General features: G+C 35.4%; 4 long non-coding RNA genes across 11 annotated transcripts in view; 1 reads left to right on the plus strand and 3 right to left on the minus strand.

The window, feature by feature from the left end:
• The window catches only part of LINC02492 (long intergenic non-protein coding RNA 2492), a 139,764-nt gene that overhangs the window by 78,552 nt on the left and 36,064 nt on the right, over window positions 1-25,148 (minus strand). The gene's annotated exons all lie outside the window — the stretch shown is intronic.
• Window positions 1-25,148, minus strand: part of LOC105377604 (uncharacterized) — an 81,735-nt gene that overhangs the window by 46,800 nt on the left and 9,787 nt on the right. The gene's annotated exons all lie outside the window — the stretch shown is intronic.
• On the minus strand, window positions 1,491-4,293 carry LOC124900879 (uncharacterized). The gene is made up of 2 exons (XR_007058510.1): window positions 2,057-4,293; window positions 1,491-1,916 (listed from the first exon to the last, which is right to left on the minus strand). It is a non-coding gene; the product is annotated as an uncharacterized LOC124900879 (long non-coding RNA).
• On the plus strand, window positions 2,298-22,218 carry LOC105377603 (uncharacterized). 6 transcript variants are annotated; one of them, NR_188472.1, is made up of 3 exons: window positions 2,298-2,570; window positions 10,248-10,481; window positions 21,221-22,218. It is a non-coding gene; the product is annotated as an uncharacterized LOC105377603 (long non-coding RNA). The 6 variants fall into 6 exon arrangements; NR_188473.1 differs by lacking the exon at window positions 10,248-10,481 and adding an exon at window positions 11,213-11,311; NR_188476.1 differs by lacking the exon at window positions 21,221-22,218 and adding an exon at window positions 15,350-15,936.

A 25,148-nucleotide genomic window follows, 5' to 3' on the forward strand; every position in this document is an offset into this window, starting at 1 on the left:
CATATCAAATAGCTAAGAGTCTGCTTAATAAAAGAGAATCAGAACAGGTAGATTGGAAGAAAATCTAACAAAAGTCGATTTGACTTTTTGTTTGTTTGTTTGTTTGTTTTGAGACGGAGTCTTGCTCTGTTGCCCAGGCTGGAGTGCACTGGCACAATCTCAGCTCACTGCAATCTCCGCCTCCCGGGTTCACGCCATTCTCCTGCCTCAGCCTCACGAGTAGCTGGGACTACAGGCACCTGCCACCACACCCGGCTAATATTTTATATTTTTAGTAGAGTCGGGGTTTCACCGTGTTAGCCAGGATGGTCTCAATCTCCTGACCTCCGCCTGCCTCGGCCTCCCAAAGTGAAGCCCCTTGGCACTGCGCCCGACCATTTGACTTTTTAAAGTGTTTTAATTTAACAACAATGTGTAGCTGGCTATATATTGGTAAGGGAAATTAGTGAAGTCAAATTTGTAGTTGAGGAGATCTTTTCTTCTGCATTTCCGCACATTGCTGTGTAAACATGAGTGCAGGTGACCGCTGGTAATTCTCTATTGGAAACTTGGTGTCTTCATTCTCCATCCTCCACGTGGCTCCGAAGCCCTGCTCTGCCTCAGGTCCCTGTGTGTCCAGGCCCTCTATGGTCATATTCTCTCACCTACACTTGGGCCAATGACATGAACAGAATTTTGACAGTTTCACAAAGCACTTTCACCTTGTGGGTGGGTTCAGTTTATTTCCTTACAGGAGGATATTAATATTGCAGGTTCTAAGGCGAGAGGAGCTTTGTGATAAGTTAAGAAATAAGGAATGAAGAGAGGCAGGGGAAAAGACTTCTGTGTGAAAATAGAAGAGGCCCATTTTAAGCACATAATTTTCCTTATTTCAAAGGGAATACGCAGGCAGGTTACTGTAGCAGAGTCACAAACAAGCCAATGTGACTTAAAAGTATGAGTCATGGGGAAATGGAGTGACACGAGATCAGCTCCAGGGATCACGCCTTCACTTTGCCTGCCTTGGGGACTCAGAGATCTGCTTGCGGGTTTCCTGACTCCTACGTGAGGTGTCAGTGAAAGCAGCAGTGATGTTAACTTTGAGGAAATTTGGTTATTGTGACAGGATAGATAAATGAACCGTATCGGGGTTTCTTCATTTTCGTAACTGTGGTGCTAATGAGGTATTCAGTATCTGTGGTTGACTGATTTATTCCCCACCAGAAAAGATGCTTGGGCTGCAGATTTCACATTTAGAAAAAAACATGATCCTTTGGAAAAGTTGCCACCAATTACTCAGTCTCCAGTTTCAGTCCATCCACGGAATGATCTGTCTATACCTCTGTAATGTACTGCGGCCCCAGTCAGCCACTTGGCAGCTTTGCAATCCCATGACCTTTTTAAATCCTGAAAATAAATAAAATTGTAACATTCTTGCCTTGTTAGCTCTTAAATTTTCAAATTTCTATGTGCCAAGTTGTTCTGCTTAATAAATCACCAAGGAGGTATTGTCATGATGGATTCGTATTTTATTTTTATTTTCAGTATTGTATGCAGTTTACTTAAAAAAGATTTGTGAAAAAAAGAGATAGCACTTTTAGCTATTGCTAAATGAGATCAGGAAATTGTCTTCCAAATAGGCAAGCACAAAGCTGAAAAAAAATGAACAAAATCATCCATTTCCATACTGTAGAAATTGAGCAAAGGCTTAACACAAATTTGAGAGGCACGGATGCTTAAAAACTGTCGAACTTCTGGGAAAAACGTGGGAACTATGTCACTCTGGCCTGGGCTGCCCACCTTGTCCAGGGTGGGACGAACTGTAGAGGGTTTTCTGCTGCTGGAAGGGCCTCTGTGGCTTTGGGGAGACGGCAGCGCCAGGGCCCGCGGGGCGGCAGGAGGGACTGGGAGGCCCACAGCGGTCCCGTGGGAAAGCTCTGTAGGGACGGGCAGGAGTGAACATGTTGTGTTTTGTGGGCTACAAACAGGCTCTATTTCCTCTCTGCCTCCTCCTCCTGCTTTTTCTTCCACTTTTTTTTAACATTTGTTTTTAAATGGAAAGTAGTTTTTAGCTCACAGGTCATACAAAAGCTGGCAAACGGCTGGCTTCGAACCGTCCTGGCTTCGAACCGTGGCTGCCATGTGCCTCCCGCTGCTCTACTCGCCTGAGGTTGACCCTGGTAAGCGGTTGCCGCCTGCAGACACGGCGCATGCGAGGGAGGGTGCAGGCCGAGACTCCGCCCCGAAGGGCGCGGCGTGCCCGAGAGATGCGAGCGTTGAGGAAACGGAAATCCAGCGCACACGTGAAAACGCCCCGGACTGCGGCTGCGCCGCTTACCCGCACACAGACGGTTGGCAGAGGAAGAAAGCCTTGTCACACTAAAGGAGAGACAGCGGATGTTCTGAACAGTCCTGTCGTGAAACGTTAGACAACGTGGACGAAACAGGCACATTCCTAAGCATCACACATTACTGAAACTCAGTCAAGAAGAAATAGAAAATCTGAATACATCCATGGCAAGCACAGAAACTGAACTAGGGGATTCGAAATCTTCCCACAAAGAAAAGCCTAGGCCCAACTGGCCTCTATGGTAAGTTCTATCAAATAGTCACAGAAGAAATCATGGCAGTTCATCACTTACTGTTGATGTTTCAGAAGATAGTGGACTAAGGAACAATCCCAAATCATTTTACAAGGCTAGTAGTACCCTGATAGCAAAGCCAAAGATATCACAAGAGGAAAAACATCACAGACCAGTATCTCTCATTAACATGGTTGCAAAATTCCTTAACAAAGTATTAAAAAAGTGAATCCAGCAAAATATAAAAATGATTATATACTATGACCCGATGGGGTTTATCCAAGAATGCTGGGTTCATTTGACATCCAAAAACCAATTTAATGTAATATACCAATCACATTCAATTTATAAAGGACTAAAATACTCCGTGATTATCTCAACAGATGTAGGAAAATAATTGGACGGCATGTAAGACCTATTTATGATTTAAAAAAAAAATCTTAAAAAACTGGAAATAGAACAAACGCTTTTTAAACTGACAAAAAGAATTTAGGAAAACACTACAGGTAACATCATATCTAATGGCAAAAGACTGAAAATCCCCCCTTAAGAACAGTAGAAAGATGTCTACTTTTATTATTTGTATTCACAATTATACTGGATTTTCTAGCCATTCCAAGAAAACAACCAACCAATCAATCAATCAACTAATTAAATGTATCCAAAGTGGAAATAAAGGAGTAAAACTGTCTTTATTTAAAAAGAAAATGATTCTATATGGAGAGAATCCCAAAAAATCCATTAAAAAAATCTAGAACTCATCAATGAGTTTAGGAAGGCCTTGGGATACAAGATCAATATATAAAAATCAATTGCATTTTTATATACTAGAAATACAAAAACACAAAAATTAAATGAAGAAAATTTCATTCACACATATGAAAATGTAAACTTTTTGGAAATTAACAAAAGAAGATGACATCTATTGAAAACTACAAAATGTTGCTGAGAGAAATTAAATATGTACATAAATAGACATTTCATATTGATGGATTAGAAGACTCAAGATGGAAATTCTCTCCAAATTAGTTTAGAAATTCAACACAATTCAAAAGCCCAGCAGGCTTTTTTTTGCAAAAATTCATAAGCTGATGCTAAAACTTATCTGCATATTCCGACAACCTGTTAAAAACAAAATACTGTTAAAAACAAAGAACTACTTGATTTCAAAAATTTTGTTAAAGCCACAGTAATCAAGACAACGTGGTGCTGGCACAAGCTTAGACGCATGCACATCAATGGAAAATAATTGAGTCCAGAAACAAATTCCTGCCTTTATGGAAAATTTACTTTTCACAAATGTTCTAAAACAACTCAATGGGGAAACTATAGGGCTTTCAATAAAAGCCTGCCCACACACACACACACACAACAACGTCTACCCCTAACCCACCAAACCTGTGACTATGTTACCTTAAACATGGCAAAGGAGAGTTTGCAGTGTGATTAACGGTATAGATCTAGAGATGGGGGGGATCATCCTGGATTATCTGGGGGCAGAGGGGCCAGTCTAGTGACTTGAGTCCTCAAGAGAGGAAGGGAAAGGCAGAAGGGTGGGTTAAAAAGACTCACTATGAGAAGTACTTCATCCTTCATTTCTAGCTTTGAAGATGCAAGTGGGGACCATGAGCCAAGCAGTGTGACAGGCTCTAAGAAGCTGGGAATGTCTGTCAGCTGACAGTCAATAAGAATTTGAGGACCTTCTTCTTGCACCCACAGTAAATTCATTTCTGCCAACAAACTGAATGAGATTGTCCCCTAGAGCCTCCAGAAAGGAACACAGCTTACTGTCATGTTTATTTTAGTTTGGTGAAACCCAACCCAGACTTTCCATCTATGGACCTATAATTAAAATAGTTTGGGGGCATTCTTAGTCCACAAATTTAGTCCAAATTTAATAACAAATTTGTGTTACTTTAAGCCCCTGAGTTTATGATTAATTCATTAAGATAGCAATAGAAATCTAATACACAATGGGATGAAAAAGAAATTAAAGAATTATAAAAGGATTTATGTGAACCATGTTAAGGAAGATTATTTAAAACTAGGAAAAAAGGCAAAAAAAGATGAGTAGTATGTCCTTTCAATGTCATATTGGAACACTTTATCAATTTCAAACAAGGATTATTTAATTTCCTATAATAATGCATTTTTACGTTTTGCTAATTGGATTTGATTGACAGCTCAAGTTTTAGGAAGTAACATGTTAACTTGACAGGTTTCATTTCAGTAGAAAAGATATTTCCAAAAGTTATGGTTTCATTGCCCTGTAGGGTATTAGCCAGTTTTGTACTAACCTAGCAACCCTATGACAAAGGTCTATTTTTAAAATACCTGTAAAGACTGTGTACTTCACAGACTCTTGGAAATGCTTTATATTCTACCTAGTTTGCTCACTCTTGAGCTAACAAGTCTTTGGTGTATATTAATTTTATGAATCATACTTTTAACTTTTTTAAAGCATTATAGCTGGACAACCATAATGTATTACTTTTAAGAATTCTGGATAATTTTGAGACATGCCAAATTAGACCCATCAGTAAAAAACAAGATTTAATAAATAGAAAAATAATGAATGACCATATGAATAAATAGATACAGAATAAACAAATGGTACATAAAGGTTGACAAGAAAAAGCCTTGATGATTCTGGAATGTTACATAATAATATAGGAATCAACTTAGGCTGTCATTTTCAATATCTTCATTGCTATCAATTTATGAGGGATTTTGTTAGCATTAATGTGATATACAATGGAAATTTGAGGAAAAAAATGACATTGTTTTAGGTGAAAATGGAAAATTTAACAGGAATATAAGGAAAAAAAATACTCCTGGGAAACAGTATTTCCCATACTTAAAGCAAGAAGACATTCTGGTGACCAATAGGCTCACATGCTAGTTTTGAGAGAATTTGTGTGGAAATTGATCAGTAAATTTTTTCTAAATGTCCTAGAGACTTTAGGTGATACTTTGGATGATGACAGGATTTTTAAATTATAATATTTCTGTAGCTACTTCTCTTTTTAAAGAAAAAGATAGCAATTTTTTTCTATCTCCTGGGTAGAATTTTGTAGTTTAACACATCTCTATAGCCAAGAGTTCATTTTTTTCCCTCAGATCAGATCCTTATGCCTGTATCTCTAGCTCTGATAGAACTTATGTTTCATTTTAATTATATATTATTACATTGTCCCTCAAATGATGGACAATGCATTTTCCTGTTAAATTTTAAAATTGCCTTAATTATGTAGTTGAGGGCCAAGGTACTTTACATACATCACAATTATACCAGAGAGAACCATGATGCAATAGAGTGCAATTGTGAGAGCTAGAGTATTGCCTCATTCTGCTACTAAATTTAAAATAGTCTGGGGGCACTCAGTCCAAAAATTTGGCTCCCGTTTCCCACTGTTCCTAACTCAGTTTCTTGTCTCATTTTGTATTCTCTGACCAAAGTTATTCAGGCTAAATCAGTATTAGGAAACAAAGATTAGCAAGTGAATTGTACTTTTAATTATTCAATATGCTTGTCTGTAAAATAAAGCTGAACAATGGCCGACTTCAATTCGTGGTTTTAAAATAAGTGGCTAAGGAAAAGCCAAACTGCTATGTGGATTTTTTTTTCCTCTACCCAAGTTTGTATCAATCCCAGGCACTATCGTAGCTACCAATCTGGCACACGTGACACACTTTGGGGCTGAGATCAGCATTTTACATAAATTTTCAACCCAGCCATCCAACTTGAAAGACAGAAACTTCCATCTCCAGAGTGGTTTTATCACCCATGAGGAAAGCTGGCCCCAGAGAAGTTAGGCCCCTTGGGTCTATGGTCACACAAGCTGACATTCAGACCCAGTTCTGCCTGAACCCGCCGGCTCTGTCCTTCCCATTAAAATGAGGGAATTGGGAAACCTGAGTTCTGGAGCTGCTTTGTGACTTAGAGTCAATCATGTTACCTCTCTAGATCTTTGTTTCTCCAACAATAAGAGAATATGACAAGGCTAAGTCAGGTTGAACATCTCTTCCAAACTTAAACGCAGATATGACACATAGTGCAGTGTTTACTATATAACCATGTTGTGCTTATCCTTTGAGGAAAAATAATAGAAATTCTAGGGCCAAACTTTTCAACTTTTTGGCCTGGGTGACTTGTTTTCCTCCTTAAAAAATCCATATCACAGAGCCACCTGCTTCCACAGTTACCATATTAAAATCATCCTAGGATTTTACCACTGATCTTCATACATGTGTATTTGGACTGAGTCACATTTTGTTGTAAAAATAAATGATGTCAGATAAAACATTGTGTTTAAAATAAGTGGTATTAATAATCTCTTTAAAATGCATGCCCATGAAACATTAAGTTGTCTGAAAGAAATATAATCTGCTTTCAATATATTTTCTCATTTAAGTTGAGCGTTCATGTGTTCAATTCACCCTAAATACAAAATAATTCTTACTTTCCTAAGAATTTTTCATGAAAGCATGTTAGGTAACTGGTAATGCCAAAATGAAACTAAGGCACTAAGTAATAGATTATGATAAAAAGAAAGAATTCATGCTGAGGGAAAAAAAGAAAAAGATGAGATTGGACTTAAAATAAGTTACATGGACCCATTTGGAGCTGAGTCTAACAAAATATGATTTATGTGCAAAGCATTTTTTGTTACATAATTTATGAAGCAAAAACGTGGAACATAGCATATGGTGAGTTGATTTGGAAGAGGGGATTTAAGCATAATCATTCAGCCTGGGGTTTATGCCGTGTTTGAATATCTGTCATACCTCTGCCTGGCTCCCATCCCCACATGTGACCTCCTGCATGGTGAGACTTACATCACATCCCACACACTTTCTGGACTGTTTTGATTATTCACTGTTAACCTTAAAAAGTATGGCTTCCTGTTAGGCACTTTTATTTCATACAACATAAGTTGTATGCAGTGTGCTTCAAATAAGTAAACAACCGGCAGGTCAGAATAGCTTTTATTTATTTGTTTTGTAAATCCCAGCTTTCTCTGGGTCCTCATAAAGAGGAGTAATAGAGAAATAGTTTCTGGCCACTCTGCTTTATTATTTCAGACATGCATGGCCTCCTATATAATTTGCTTATTGATTTCAATAATAAAGACCAGGAAATTACATCCTCTCTTGTCTGTGGAGCTATGAATCACAGATTGCTTAACCACTGTCAAATTAAACAACTTGCCTGTGACTGAGAAAGGATTCATATAAAGACTAAAATGATCATCAGCCTCCCACTAATCCAGTGTGTCCCCCATGTTAAATGAAGTCAGCATCACTCTGGGCAGCTGTGCTGCCTCCTTTGAGGAAATCAGCCTCCTTCTCAATCATTTGTACTGCCACACAGTTTGAATCCCGGATTCTGGAAGATTATGCCAGATACCTTTCTCTCCTGGGAGATAACTGCTCAAAAACAAAGACACAATTAAAATAAAAATTAGACATGAGCACAGTGGCTCATGCCTATAATCCCAGTGCTTTGGGAGACGGAGTCAGGAGAATCGCTTGAGGCCAAGAGTGTGAGACAAGCCTGGGCAACATAGAGGATCCCAATCTGTACAAAATAAAAAAATTAAAAGAATTAGCTAGGCGTGGAGGCTCATGTTTGTAGTCCCAGCTACCTGGGAGGCTGAAGCAGGAGGATCACTTGAGTCCAAAAGCTTGAGGCAGTGAGCTATATTCATGCCACTGCACTCTAGTTTGGGCCACAGAGTGAGATTCTGTTTCTACAATAAGAATAAAAATAAAAATAAAATAATAATAATAAAAATAAAATCAAACAAAACATTGAAAGAACTCTGGTTTCTGATTATCTAAAAGCTCCCAACTGATACCGGAAATACTGTTTTCTAATGCTAACATTTGAATACCCAAGGTCTCTCATAGATTTATTGCATCAAATCTCTGGGTTAAATTTAGAATGAGGTTGATCTTCAGGAGCAGATTCTCATTCTAAATCACACAATTGTATCTAGAGGCTGAGTGTTTAAAGGGACAAGACCAACAGTGGGCTCTGGGTGCCCAGCCGAGCAACCTCTAGAAGTGTTTTGCTTTTTCAGAAAGCAATGAAGGGGCTTAAAATCATTTGTGAAAATGATTTAAATGATTTAAGGGTTGAAAGCAAAAAACAAACAAACAAACAAAAAAACCTCATCTGGGCCCAGTATTCTCATTATAGGTAGAATAATGATAGAAATTGCAATGCACAATTTTACTGCAAATTTTGCTTGAAAGCAGACAAATCATCTTGGAAAAGTAGATTTGACTCCCTGCACTTTAGTTTCCTTATCTAAGCCTGAGGGTTTGATGATGTCTTCGATGTTTTTAGGAGTTCTAACTGTATATATTTTAATGCCAAAATAATCTTTGTGGCCAATCTTAATTCTACAATTTGAAAATAGTTTTAAGTTAAAGATTTTAATGCGCTTGGATAACCTGCAAATTTACATTTAAACCTGTTTATGTAATTATTCACTCACATTTAAATGTGGTAACTTCTGCCCATGTGATCTTAAATTAAAACATTCTTTGAAGCTAGATGAATACTTAGCATGTTAATAACATCTGATGAGACCCAGATGAAAGCTGGTATGAAGTACTTCTTGGTCAAGAAGTTCTCTCTCTTTGTTAATGTAAATTTTATAAGTTTCCATTACCCAATGAACAAGGTATATAAATTGGATGAGTTCTTCTTTTTTGAATTATCGTCAGGTTATACAAAGAGGAAAGGTGGAACATTAAAAAGAATGAAAATTCAAAGGACTTGAATCATTGGTCTGTTAGTAAATTTGCAATTTTATAAACCGCAATGATTTATAAACTATTCAAAACATTAATATTTACAAGCAAAATTATGCAAAGCATACACAACTTTTGCTGTCTTGATTAGACTGCATCTTTTGTCTCCAGGTAAAAATAACTTTTAAAGTTATTTTCAAAAAATATTTATTTTTTGATGCTTAATTTTTAGTTGCCTAGTGAAATGATTGCTATTCATATCTAAAAGGAAAACGAACCTCAGGTGGTATGTCACAGTGAGATGTCATTAAGTTATTATTAAAAATGGCTTATATGCAATTTAAAGCCAGCTTCCACGAATGACTCTTGTGGTGAACAAGAAACCAATATAGATTATTTGTAGAAATAAATATTCCTTGATTCCTAGACTCCTATAAAACCACCTGAATAATATTGTGCACTGACTGTGGAAGGATTTTGATAAAATGTACGTTTTTCATGTCAGAATGAATGAATTATGTGCATGATATAAAGCAATAGCTCCCAAATTTCCCACAAAGGACATCTTTTGTTATCACTGTTTTTTTTTTTTCATCAGTATCAGTGGTTTAAAAGATATTTTTCTATTACCACGAGATAGCCAGCAGTACCATATTGGCTTTCTACAAGGCATTTTTAGGTTGTGAGGTGCTTCTGAGGCTAAAGATATATTACATTTGGCTTTTTGAAATAGTGAAATATAAATCTCTAATAGTCTGAGAAGTTGAAATTGGGAATTACTAGTGTAAAGAAAATAACTTATAAACAAGGCCCTTGATTCAAGTCTTTTCCATGACTTTGGTTAACTTTATCTATTAAAAAAAAAACTAGGCAATTTTTAAGTTTCCCTTTTAATGCTAACATTTCATATTGTGTTTTCAGCATCCCACTTGATGAAAATTCCTGTTATAATAAATTAGCCCCTTGAGGTTCCTGGAAAAGCATGAAGACTTGATATCACCTCCTTCCTCCCACTCTCCATGTATACAAACACTCCAATTGATACTTTCTCTTATATTATTATTTAAACTATTTTCTTTCTGACTCTGCGTTCTATCTTCTGTCTTGACTTTATTCACCCAAGATGACCAAAAAGACAAAGATTTGAGCTATGAGGTAGGTGTATGATACATAGGGGAAAAACACATACATATATAGGTTATATGAATATATGTATATCTCCATATATATATGTTATATACCCATAAAATATGTACCAAATTGCTCCTTCAAGCTATATATTAGACCATAAACACAATTAAAGTATAAAACAAAATGAAAATATAATAAAGGTTTTTAATATCAATGACTGGTATAAAGGCATTCATAAATAGCATTTTAAAGAAAAATACATTTAAAATAATTAAAATATAAAATAAAAAAGTATTTTGAAACATTATCTTTAATGTTTATAGCCTAAAATATATTTTTTAAATAAATAAAGTACCTACATTAAAAGGTCTAAGTTTTTTTTAACAAAATAAACACAGGTCTAAAGAAAAAAGGAAAACATAAATGTATAAAAGAGAATGTAGCAAAATAGGAAATAACAAAGAGGATCAGTAAATATAAAAGTTATTTACCTTCCCCCCCCAAAAAAATGAATAAAATATACAAGTCTTTAAGCCAACTTTTACAGGGAGGTGCTGTGGTTTGAGTATATGTGTCCTCCCAAAATTCATCTGTTAAAACTTAATCCCCAATGTGATAATATCAAGAGCTGTGGCCTTTGGGAGGTAATTACGTCATGAGGGCTCCATGTTTATGAATGGAATAACACTTTTAATAAGTATCCTTACTTATTAAAGAAACTTAAGAGGAACTCTTTGCCCTTCTACCATGTAAAGATACAGCAAGAAGGTGCCATCTATGAAGGAGAAGACAAGCCCTCACCAGACACCAAATCTGCTGATGCTTTGATCTTGGACTTCCCAGCCTCCAGAACTGTGAGCAAGAAATTTCTATTTCTATTTCACCCAGTCCAAGGTATTTTGTAATAGTAGCCTGAGCAAACTAAGACAGGAAGAAAAAAAGTATATATAGCTGTATCAGAAATTAAAAGGGGACATAACTACGGTAGAATATATACTTATATATATATTTATATATATTTTGACAATATATCAAAAATTTAAGTTAATGCATTTGAAGAAGATAAAATTAATACCTTTCTGAAAATATAATTTTAAAGTATTCCTTAAATTACAAAATTTAAATACAATTATAGAAATTGAATCAGTAATTTAAATTGCCACACCCCAAGTTACCACAGATGTAATTTTGCAGATGCATTTTAGAAAACTTTAAGATAAAAACTTTTCATTTTCCCTTTTTTATTTCAAAGAATAGAAAAATGTTCCTCTTCCATTCGTGGCTAAGCAAATTCTTATTGAACCAACCCTTCCACAGATAGCAACTCTAAACAAAATGTTGAAAAAGCAACTACCTGCAGGCACTGGAGAGTGAAAATAATGTGGGAGACACTGGAGGGAAGTTATGAATAAGATAACAGTAGGGTGTGACTCTCCACTTGTTAACTGCTTTTAGAATGAGAGCAGTCTGCAGGTGTTGCCACACAAAGCAACTAAAATTCATATGGAAACCCATGGACTTACTGACTTGAAAGGCCAGGGGCAAAGACTCGGGCAACTGCAGCTGTTGGTAAGTGAAGGAGCATATTACAAAGAAGAAAGGACAATCACAGGGAAACAATTTTGCATAAAAAGCAGTCTGAATCTCTAGACTTCAAAAGGCCAACTAAGGTTTTACCCACACAGGGGAGATAGAATCAGAAGTTCAAGTTCAGCTACTGCTTAACATTTTTTCAATAAGAATGAAAATCCTTCAGAGTAACATAATTTAGAATTTAGAGTCTCTACAATGTATCACAGTGTTCAACAATCTTATATTACTTGGTATACAACAGAACAGAAAATAATAAACGTTCTCAAGAAGAAAGAATGTCAGAGACTAACCCTGAGACCATCCAGATAAAGATTTTGAAGTAGCCATTATAACTGTGCGCAAGGATAGCAAGGAATAGATTGTTAAAACAAATATAAGATAGAAAATCTCAGCAGAGAAGTTAAAACTATTACAAATGAAAATTAGAAAACTAAAATATATCTGAAATAAAAATTTTGCTGGATGAGTTTATCAGCAAAATAGAGAAGACAGAAGAATTAGTGAACTTGATGACTCCTCAATATAAAATATCCAACCTGAATAAGAAGGAAGACGATTCAGAAAAATAAATAATAGAACCTCAGAGAACTGTGGGACAATATCAAAATGTCAAGTGTGTGTGTGTGTGTCTCTCAGAGGAGAAAAAAGAGACAATAAAGCAGAAAAAAATTTTGAAGAAATAATGTCTGAAATTACACAATTGTGATGGAAGACATAATTTACAGATTCAAGAAACTCAGTGAACCCTAACAGGATAAAGTTATACATATGTACATACTCATGCACACACACAGAGGCCTTAATACATCATAGACAGACTACTAAAAACCAAAGATAAAGAGAACATCTAGAAAAAAGACAGAGGAAAATGATAAATTCCATATAAGTGAATAATGATTTGAATAACCTCAGGCTTCTCATCAGAAATAGTGAGAGCCAGAAAAAAAAAAAAAACAACTTTTTTAAAATACTAGAAGAAAAAAAATGTCAACCAAGAATTCTATATTCAATGAAAATATCCTTTAAGAATGTAGATAAAATGAAGACATTTTCAGAAAAATGAAATAAACTAATCTCTACTATAAGAAATGCTAGAGGGAGTTCTTCAGGCTAAGATAAAACTATAAAGAAACATGAATCTACTGGAAGAAATAAGATGTATTGCATTTACATGTGTTACAATCCCTGTAATATTTTAAAATTAGTATTATAGGGATTATAGCACATGCAAATACAGTACATATGACAACTAGAGAATCAAAACTGAGGGTGTGGTGAAGTGATCATGCACTTGCAGGATTTGTACACTGTATACAAAGTGGTTTAGTATTAACTGTGTAAACTATGAGGAGGTAAAGATTCATTGTAATTATAGGAACAACCACTAAAAAAGAAAATAGCTACAAAAATAAAAAAATTAAGTAAAAGAAAATAAAATTCCTAAAAAATTTATATATTCCAAAAGAATGCCAAAAAGGAGAAAGAGAAGTACAAAAACAAAGAGACAAATGCAACTCATAATAGGAAAATGATAGATATAAATCCAACTATATCAAGAATTACATTAGATCATCAATCACTCCAATTATAAGGCAGAAATTTTTGTAAGAAATAAAAAAGCAAGATTCAACTATATGCTATCTACAAGAGAAACATATTAAAAATAAAGAAATAGAAAGGTTTTGGTTGACAGTAAGTATACCTACCATGCAAATAGTACACATAAGAAGGTTGGAGTGTTTATGGTAAAATCATATAGATTTCAAGATAAGGAATATTAACAGATAAAAATGATGAAAGTTTTGTCAGGAAGACAAAACAATCATTAAAGTATATTTATCAAAGGATAGAAGAGAATGAAAAACTACTCATATCCTTAAAAAGATTATAAACTATACTGAAACTAGTCAATTTTAAGATAAGAAATAAGATGACAATCTCACATAGTATATATACAAAAATTTTCAATAAGCTATCAGCAAATTAAAATTGTCATTATAATAAAAAATTATAGCAAGAAGTGTTCATCTCAGAAATATAAAGATAATACATCACAAAACATAATACAACACATTTACATATTCTTTTTTTTTTTTTTTTTGGGGACAGAGTCTCCCTCTGTCGCCCAGGTTGGAGTGTAGTGGCGTGATCTCGGCTCACTGCAAGTTTCGCCTCCCAGGTTCACGCCATTCTCCTGCCTCAGCCTCCTGAGTAGCTGGGACTACAGGCACCTGCCACCACGCCCCACTAATTTTTTGTATTTTTAGTAGAGACGAGGTTTCACCATGTTAGCCAGCAAGGTCTCAATCTAAACAAAATAGTATGTTTATAATGGCAAAATTAATTTTAAAAATTTAATACTGACTCATCAAGAAAAATAACAACAAAAGAGGCCATTTTCAAAGCAGGAAGAGAAAGGATTTTTTTTCCCCGAGTAAGAGTTTCTAGTAAAAACTTTAACATACATCAGACTTAATGGTGACAGGTTAGAAAAAGTATTCCCATTAAACATATGAATAAGAACCAAGATGTCTGCAATGTTCCATTATGTTAGACATTACATTGGAGGTATGTGTAAAGATAAAGATTTTATGAGGAGATATTCCAAAGACAGATTTGTGATTCTTTGGATGTGGCACTGTTGAAGGTGAATCTAAAAGCTTTTATGGAGCAATGTCAAATTTGTGAGCCACACGGAGATGGAGATGAGATTATAATACACTTTTATATGTACTATCATAGATGTAAAACTCTCTATCTTAATATTAACTTTGAAAATGTTAAATTGAGAATCCTGTTAACTTACATTTTATGAATTGGCATATTGTATTACTGCAAGATATATTTGATTTTCAGCATAATGCCAAAACAAAAGATTTTTTAAAAAACTATAAAAATGCATATATTTTTCTAAATTTATTTTGTCTTAAAGCACACTTTAAATGTCATTTCTCATTGAGCAAAATTGTCAAATTTCTATGGAAAATTTTAAGATAAAAAGAAATAGGCAAAGAATTGGAAAGAGACAAAATTGACAATATTTATATCCAATTTAATATTCTAAGTATATAATCCAAGAAACCATACAGATAAGTTACTAAAACTTGTAAGAAGATTTGATATAGTTGCCAGATTACTATATAATTGAATAATTATATAGAAAATAAGTAGCATTCTAAGTGCCTTTAATAATTTAAGAAGGACTTCTGCTTATAGCCACAACAAAATAGCCAGAACTGGATTAACTGTCCCAGCTAAAATCACTAAAAAATAATCAAAATATATGTTTTTAAACACAGTTTCAGACTTTGGACAACATGTAGCCCAGGACAGTGATCCCTGAGAAAAGGAAGACAAATGAGGTGACACTGTGATAGACCCAGATCAACGCCTGGAAAAAGTTTCAAAGCTACAATGTGAGGAGTGGGGACAAAACAGTCTAGTGGCTTTGCTGAGTGGAGAAGGCAAGTACTGGAGTCCAGGCAAAGTATTGGTGAAGGTGGAGCCCTGGAGAAAAAGAACTCTAGAGATCTGTAAGAGGCTCTCCTTGAAACTTCTACTGAGCACAGTTCTGCACATGCATGTATAGAATTTACTCAAGATGAAGAAAGAACCAACGAAAAAAAGCATAGTATAATGCTGAGAACTCATAAAATCGAGTAGGAAATCTTGCCTATTGAAAGAGCATTGAGACAGAGTCCTCAGAAGGAATTTTCTCAGTGGTGGGAACAAATTAGCTATAAACCCAAGTTTGCTCTGATATTGCTATAACAAAGCTTAAAAGCAACTCTCAAAAGGCTCAAACTGAGTACAAAACATCTAATTGTAACCCAGGGTACTTCCCAACAGTATTCAAGGGAATAAAATATTTTGTGTATATTTTGTATTACAGGAATATATTGTATTCCTTTATATAGCATATTGTATTTCTTTATATATGAAATGATATATCATCCTAATTTAGAGCATGAAGTTACAGATGTATATTATAAACTCTAGAACAACCACTAACACTATTTTAGAAAGCTATAAATGATAAGCAAATAGAGATAAAATAGAATGATAAAATATAATCAATCCAGAATATGGGAAGAAAAAGAAAAAGGGAGCAAAAAAAAATGAAAAAAATGAAACAAATTGCAAGATGACAGATTTAAACCTAATCATATTATAACCACATTATATATAAATAGGCTATATACTCCAATTACAAAACAAAGATTGTTGAATAAAAAAGTAAGACCCAACTACATACTTTCAGCAAGAAACCCACTTCAGATATAAAGACATAAATTCAGTAAAACTCATAAGTCAATGTCATAAATACATATATATAATATGCTCGCACTAATTAAAAGAAAGCTGGAATGACTGCATTAATATCAGAAAATGTAGATTTCAGAGCAAAGAATAGTACCAGGGATAAAGAGGCTGAATTCACATATTATAGGGGTAAAATATTTGAGAGAACATAAGATTAGTCTATGTGTATATCTGATAGCCCAGCTTCAATATATATGAAAGAAAAATTAGTGGAACTGAGTGGCTAGATATACATATCTACAATTGTATTTGCAAAGTTCAACAACTTATTCTTAATCATTAATAGATCAAGTAGAGAAAGTAAGGATTTACAAGAATTGAAAACATCACCAACCATCTTGACATTTATCGAGCAACTCCACCCAACAAGAGCAGGAGGTATATTCTTTTCAATTTCCCATGGAACATTGAATAAGATAGATCATAAAACAGGTCTCAGTAAATGCAAAAACATTAAAACCACACAAAAGAACGGTCCATGTCCACAAATGAATTAAATTAGAAATCAATAGCAGAATATTTTAAATATTCATCCATATTTTCAAACCAAACAATATACTTCTAAATAACTCATGGGTCATAAAAGAAATGACGAGGCAAGTCAGAAAGTATTTTGAACTGAGTGGTAATGAAGCACTACACATCAAAATCTGAGGGACAGAGATAGGTAATGTTTAGAGAAAAAATCATAAAATTAAATGCTCATATTAGAATAAAAAGTTTGTCAAATCAATCATTTTGAAGCCTGCATCTTAAGAAATGTTCAGTCTTCAAGATGGTGGAATAGAACCTTTCAGCAGTTGTCATCAATGTGAACAACTATCCACACTTGAAGACACCTTTGCAAGCATTAAGGAATCCAGGTGAGAGACTATGACACCTGAGTGTAGTATGGAACTAAGAAATGCACTGAAGAGAGTGGAAGGACAGTTTCACATGACCCATGTCACCCTTTTCCATGCCCAGGCAGCACAGCACAGAGATGCCCTCTGGGTGGGAAAGTAGAGTGATGTCACCACCTGACTTTGTGTGGAGCCCAGCACCAGGTACACCCCAGAGAAACCCAGTGCTGGGCTGATTCCAGCAGCCCCAGGATCCAGATTAGCCTCTGTAGATATAGGCTGCAGGCTTGCCCGGCATCAAGCTGGCCCCTGTTGCCCCAGACTCTCGGCTGGTTGCAATGGCCACATGTTCCCAGCTGACCCAGTCCCCAGGCCCATGTCAGTGCCAGAGACCTAGCCACTGCGGACCTAGCCTTCAGGCCAGCATCCACAGATGCAGTCTCTTGGCCAGGCTCCATGTACCCAGGCTCTATGCTAGCCCCATAGTCTCATGTACTAGGCCAGCACTCATGGACACAGGCTTGAGACTGGCCCCTGCAGACCCAGGTTCCCAGGCCTGTCCCAGGACCAAGACAGCCCAAGCTCCATGTCAGTCCCCACATCCACAGGCTTCAGTGGACCCAAGGTCCAGTCTTGCTCCAGTAGATTCAGAGTGCAGGCTCACCTCAAAGTCAGCAGAAGGAAGGAAATAATAAATATCAGAGCAGAAATAAATGAAATAGATAGTTTAAAAATCAGTGTAAATATCAATGAAACTAAGAGATGGTTTTTTGAAAAGATAACTAAAATTGGCAAGTCCTTAGCTAAAGAAAGAGAAAAGACTCAAACAACTAAAATAAGAAATGAAAGAGGAAGTATTACAACTGACACCACAGAAATACAAAGGATTATAAGAGAATACATTAGCCATTAGCCATATAACAGCCTGAGCCATTATACATTGCCAACAAATTGGATAACACAAAAGAAATGGATAAATTCCTAGAATCATACAACCCACCAAGGATGATTCATGAAGAAATAGAAAATCTAAATAGAGCAATAATGAGTAAAGAGATTGAATCAGTGATCAAAATATCTCTCAACAACAACAACAAAAAGCTCAGGTCCTGATTACTTCACTGGTAAATTCTAGCAAACATTTAAGGAAGAATTAATATCAATTCTTCTCAAACTCTCCCAAAAACTTGAGGGGAAAGAAATGCTATCAAATTCAATTTACAAAATCAGCGTTATTCTAATATAAAAGCCAGACAGGGACACTGCAGGAAAAGAAAATTACAGACCAATATCCCTGATGAACATAGATGCAAAAATCCTTAAGAAATACTAGAAATCCAAATTCAGCAGCACATTACAAAGACCATTCATTTAGGTGAGATTTACCCTTGGATGCAAAGATGGATCACCATATACAATCAATAAATGTGATATACTGCATTAACCATATGAAAGATAAAAATCATATGGTCATCTTAATATATGCAGAAAAATCTTTTGAAAAACATCAGCATCTTTTCATCATAAAAACTCTTAACAAATTAGGTATAGAAAGATTATACTTCAACATTATAGAGATCATGTATGACAAGCCCACAGCTAACATACTCAATGGTGAAAAAGGTGAAAAACTAAAAATTTTTCCCCCAAGATAGGGAACAGAACAAGGGTACATACTCTCACTACATCTATTCAGTATAGTACAGGAAGTCCTAGCCAGAGTAATTAGGCAAGAAAAAGAAATAAAAGGCATCTAAATTGAAAAGCAAGAATTATAACTGTCTGTTTCTGCAGATGACATTTTTTATATAGAGAAAATCCCTGAAGACTCCCCCCAAAAACTGTTAGAACTAATAAACAAATTCAGTAAAGTTGCAGGATATAAAATGGACATAAAAAATCAGTAGTAATTTATATACTAATAACAAACTATCTGAAAAAGAAATTTTAAAAAAGATCTCATTTACAATAGCATCAAAAAGAATAAAATACTTAGGCATACATTTAACCAAGGAGGTGAAAGATCTGTATGCTGAAAACTATAAAACTTTGATTCAAGAGGCTGAAGAAAACACAGATAAATGGGAAGATATCCCATTTTTATGGATTCGAATTGATAGTGTTAAAATGTCCATACCAACTAAAGCAATCTACATATTCAATGCAACCCCTATCAAAATTCCAGTGGCATTTTCCTCAGAAATAGAAAAAAAATTCTAAAATTTGTGTGAAACCACAAAAAAAAGTCAAAGCAACATGGACCAAGAAGAACAAAGCTGGAGGCATCACAATACCTGATTTCAAAAGATACTACAAAGCTATAGTAACTCAAACATCATGGTACTGGATAAAAACAGACATGTAGAACAATGAAACAAAATATAGAGTCCAGAAATAAATCCATGCATTTTGGTCAATTAATCTTCAACAAAGATGCCAAAAGCATGCAATAGGAAAAGGACAGTCTCTTTGATGAATGGTGATGGGAAACCGGATATCATATGCAGAAGAATAAAATTGGACTCATCTTACACCATATACAAAATCAACTCACAATAGATTAAACCTTAAACTTAAGACCTGAATCTTTAAATTTATTAGAAGAAACAATAGGAAAAAAGCTTCTTGACATAGAACTGGCCAAAGATTTTTTTGATATGACCTCAAAACACAGGCAATAAAAGCAAACCTAAACAAATGGGATTACATCATACTGAAGAGCTTCAGCACAGCTAGGGCAACAGTCAACAGAGTGAAGAGACAGCCTATAGAACAGGAGACAATATTTGCAAACATACATCTGATAAAGGATTAATATCCAAAACATACAAGGAACTCAAATAACTCAATAGCAAGAAAACAAATCACTGGATTAAAAAAAAAATGAACAAAATATTTGAACTGACATTTCTCAAAAAAAGACAAAGGGCCAATAACAATGTGAAAAAAATGCTTATTATCACTAATCATCAGGCAAATGCAAATTAAAATCACAATGAGATAATAACAGCTTATATTTGTATTCTGTATATATAGGCCAAACATTGTTTCAAAAGCTTTATGTAAATTAAGCCATGTAATCCCTACAACATTCCAATGAGGTAAGTGATATTACTACCATTTTATAGAGAAGTTAAATAATTTGCTGAAATTCAAACAGCAAATCAGTTGACAGTCAGGATTTTATTCTAGGAAGATTGGTAGTCATTTCACAAAAGAGAAAACAGAAATGGCCAGTAAACTTAAATATATACTGTCTCAAAAATAATATGAGAAATACAAAAAGTGCTGTTACACCATGTGCTAGCAATGATACTAAGAAATGAAAATGCTTACACATGGCTGGTGTGAAAATACATTAAGATGACAAGAAACATAGCAAAATGCAATAAATTTGAACATGATATATTTTCATCCAAGCAATTTTACTCCAAGAAGACAAGAATAAAAACATATTGTAGCGTTTTTAACTTGTAACAAAATACTGCAAATAATCTAAGCACCCTGGACTGGACAAGTAAATGGACAAAAAAAAAAAAACAAAAAAAACAAAACTCATGGCATATTCATAAAATGGAGTAATGTGCTAATAGAGATAATATATGAACTTGCAGTACCTGTACCATTTCAGATATGCTCAACAATATACTCAAGTTAAAAACACATAAGGTTGCAGAATGATGCTAATTTTGTAAAACTAGGAAATCTCAAAGCTTATTCTACTGATTGATTCTGAAACAGGAAGTAAAAGTATAAGAAACATTCGTGAGAATAACAGACATCAAACCAAGGAATGTGGCTCCCTCTGAACAGGGCAGATGGGAATCTCTATTAGAGAAAAGTCACAGTACACTTCTTCTTCATGCACTAATGGGTTGGGATTTGAGGTTTTAAGATAATAGGACTTGATTCTACTTGAAGGATGAAAATTTTCTTCCAATAAGATGACTTTACCCTATTTCTTGTGAAGTGATCTTTCTTGATCTGCTTTGTATTTTAAACCAGGCTCACACCCCTTTATTAACTGAAGCTGACTTAACCCGAACTATCTGAAGCTGACTCAACCCGAACTATCCGAGATCACACGTAAATGTTTTCCTTCTGATCTCAACTTTTCTCCTTATCGTGGGGCATGGAAAGGAGGAGATCGCAGCAGGGAAGTTTTTGTTCTTGTTCACATGCTAACAATGGTAAGCTTCTTAAAAGTGAATCACAGTAGCATCACAGAGTTTGGACAGGTGATGTAACTAGGAGCTACGAAAATTGAGTGCCATAAAAGAATCATCTTTAAATACTGAAGTGCTTCTGTATGCTTGAATTATACAGCATTTCCTGTTTCAAAGCAGTTTCACACAATCTCATTTAACACTTTTAAAGTCATAGTAGTTGAACCGAGTATATCGCACCCCTGTTACGGCTTTTTCTTGATTATAGGACAAAATGAAAAGAACTTTTATGATCTGGCTCCAATTATACTTTCAAGGTTCAAGTCTTCCCATCCGGTAAGATTTTTCTTCTTTACAAAATGCCCCAACTGAGGCACTCATGTACTAGGCACAGGAGACTACCTGTTTGAAATATCCCTTGCTTCTGCTGGAAATGCTGTTCCCACACTGAACTCATGTGCCAACTCTCAGCTCAAAAGTGCATGTTTGTCTCTACCAGTGGACTAAGGACCAGCTCCTAGGATGGGAGCAGTTTCTTACTCATGTTTATAAAGTGCTATGCAGAAAATAGCAGGGCTATGGGAAAGAAAGAGACCAGGTTAGAAAAGTCATTTGAATCGGATCTGCATGAAAAAAGGCACTTTAGATAAGACCTGATAGCAAAGGGCTGTAAGAGGAGAAAAGGGCAAATCAAAGGTACCGACAGAACATATTAAGCATGGCCTAGGCTGAGCAAAGCCAAATTTAAACATAATTTTGTATGTTGAAGCACATTATTTTCCAATATGTTAATGTGTAGCCATTCTCACATACATAATAAAGCTAATGGATTATTTATTCAATTGTATGTTTTGTTATAGGAGCCTCTGTCATTAAAAAGAAAATTTATTTTCGTATCTGGGAAAAGTTGCCAAGGCAAAAAACACACACCTGGCCATGCATCTTTAGTTTGTTATTGTTTTTAGGTTTATTTGAAACTTACAAAGTGAAAAAAATCAATGACTTCTCAGAAAAAGGAAAAAAATAGATGTAGGTGGAAGAGAAAGAATACATAGGATTATAATAGGTTTGGCGAGGATCTCATGTTGCTGAAGAAAACGAGTCTTGGGATTCTTTGTAGTGGGTCTTCAGAACAGGCAAAGAAATGGTTACGAGTGAGGATACCAGAAGGAGAAGAAAACTAGAAATTTGAATAGAAAGTTGAACAAAATGAACTTTGGATACCAATAACCTTCAGTGAATGGGTGAAGAAGAAAAAACCTTTCTCTAGTTCTGTTTCAAAGGCAGTAATGAATAGAATAGCAAAAGTTAAGCATGAATGAAATCCATATTTATCTATTTTTTGAAAGGTAATGCATGTCTTATTTTCACTGCATTATTTCCAGAGCATAATAATTTCAGCCTAAGTTAACTTTCAATGGTCAGTCTTTGCTGTCCAGCACTGCATTGCTCAGGAGATTCATTAATCAATCAATCGATCAATCAATCAGTTCCTTCTGTTTCTTTCCCACCTGGAGCTCTGCTGTCAGAGTTGCACATGTGAGTGAGATGTAGCTCACTTAGGAATCCATGCCTGCAGCTACCCTGGGAGCTGACTGCCAGTCTCTGCTCAGAGGCCCTTGTTCCCACAGGCATTTGCTCTCTGCTGTGTAATTTATAGTTTAAGTCAAATGATTCCAAACACAGTCTCTAACATTTGGGTAAAATCTGTCTAGTACTTTCTTGTGACACAGAAACATAGAGGGAAAATATTGCTATATTTATGCAAATATAGAATCTTTACTCTGAGGCTTTTCTTAAATTCACAGTCACCCATATGCCAAGTGGATTTACTGTTCATTACTCAGTGTCTTTACTGTTTGTAACTCAGATCACGTTTTCCTTCACAAAGCCTGCTTACTGAATATTTGTGTGATGATTTGAACTCAATTAGCTACTTATTGCTAGGTTATATTTTCCCCTTTGCAGCAAGCATGTCAAAGATTATACATTTTTTTAACAGATTGCTTTTAATTGTATTAGTTGAAGAGCAGTCTTTATATGTAAAATAGTGAATTATAGTTAAGGGACCAAGGGCCATTGTGTCTTAAGTTTTAATTGTTCAATAGATCACCTAATAGTTTTTAAAATTTTTATAGGAATGTCTGATCTTATCCACAAACTTTAACAAATGGGCATAAAAATATTCCTCCCTTAATTTTTCTGACCTGCACTTTTTCTGTTTTGTTTTTGTATTTTTTATTTTGTTGGTTACTCCACGTCATTGGTTACTTCATGTCAGGATTATTTGCAGCAATCTTCTGTCCTTAATATATTGATGTTTTGGGGGCTTCTAACCTAAGCTCTATTCTTTTTCCATTCTTTAAATTCTCCAAGTAATCATACATTCAGTTGGCTTTGATTACTATGTATATTAATAATTCTGGCCAGGCGTGTTGGCTCACACCTGTAATCCCAGCACTTTGGGAGGCTGAGGTGGGTGGATCACGAGGTCAGGAGTTCGAGACCAGCCTGGCCAAAATGGTGAAACCCTGTCTCTACTAAAAAATACAAAAATTAGCTGGGCACGATGGCGGGCGCCTGTAATCCCAGCTACTCGGGAGGCTGAGGCAGGAGAATCGCTTCAACCCGGCAGGCGGAGGTTGCAGTGAACCGAGATCACACCACTGCACTCCAGCCTGGGTGACACAGCAAGACTCCATCTCAAAAAAACAATAATAATAATAATAATAATAATTCCAACACCCCATCTCTATGTCCACCCATTTCTTTTCTAAACTTCAGGCTCAACTGCTTGTTCAAGCTCTCCATTGTTTACCTCACAGGAATCTCAAGGTAACTTGTTCAACTTGAGTGTCTCTGGACCTCCCCTCTCTACTGGCTTCTCTGCAAACGTTTTTCTTGGTGAGTGCATCTGCTTTCCCAGCTGCTCAAACCAGATTTCTAGGGCTCTCCCTTTGCTGTTTCCCATCCGACACTCCCCATCCTGGAAATCACATAGCTTTGTCAATTTCATCACTAGAAACACCAGCCCCTGCCCTTCTGTCCTACCGGCATCACTGTACAGCATGCTACTCTCATCTCTTGTAGCCTCATTGCAGTTTACCTCCCTGTTTCTAACTGGGCCCTGCTCCAATCCACTTTCCACACTGTATCCAAGGGATCTTTGTAAAATTCTAATCTGATTGTGCCATTCCCTTGTTAATACCAATCAATAAATTCCCAAAGTTCTTAAGTAAATCTAGGTAAGTTGTTTATAAATTCCTTCATGTTATCATCTCCATTTACTTTTTTATCCTCGTTTCTACCCAACCAAAACACCTTTAAGTGCAACAGTCCCACAGTTCTAAATTACATTCATTTTTTATGGTATGCTATTTCTCACTTTCAGCATTTCTATTTGCTGTTGATTCTGCCCAGAATGCCGTGGACAGTCCCCTCTCCTTGCCTCTCATGCTCATTTTTAACCAGCTTCTACTCATCTTTATTTTTCATATATCGTCTCAGATATCACTTCTTCTGAGACACAATCTTTAGGGCCTCAAAGCTGATCTAGGTGTCCCTCTTATGTACTTTAATTTCTTGATCACATCAAATATAGTACTGAAATATTATTTTTCAGTGATGCTTAACACTGGTTCTATTTTTCTTTTTCTTTTTTAATACTTGGAAAACTTTCACTAACTAACTTACTATCATTGAGTTTCTTGACTGGGGTCCCATACTTTTTTTAAAGGTGGATATTAGATTTGGAATAACCTCATGGG

The sequence above is a fragment of the Homo sapiens genome, chromosome 4, assembly GCF_000001405.40.
Source record: "Homo sapiens chromosome 4, GRCh38.p14 Primary Assembly".
NCBI lineage: Eukaryota > Metazoa > Chordata > Mammalia > Primates > Hominidae > Homo > Homo sapiens.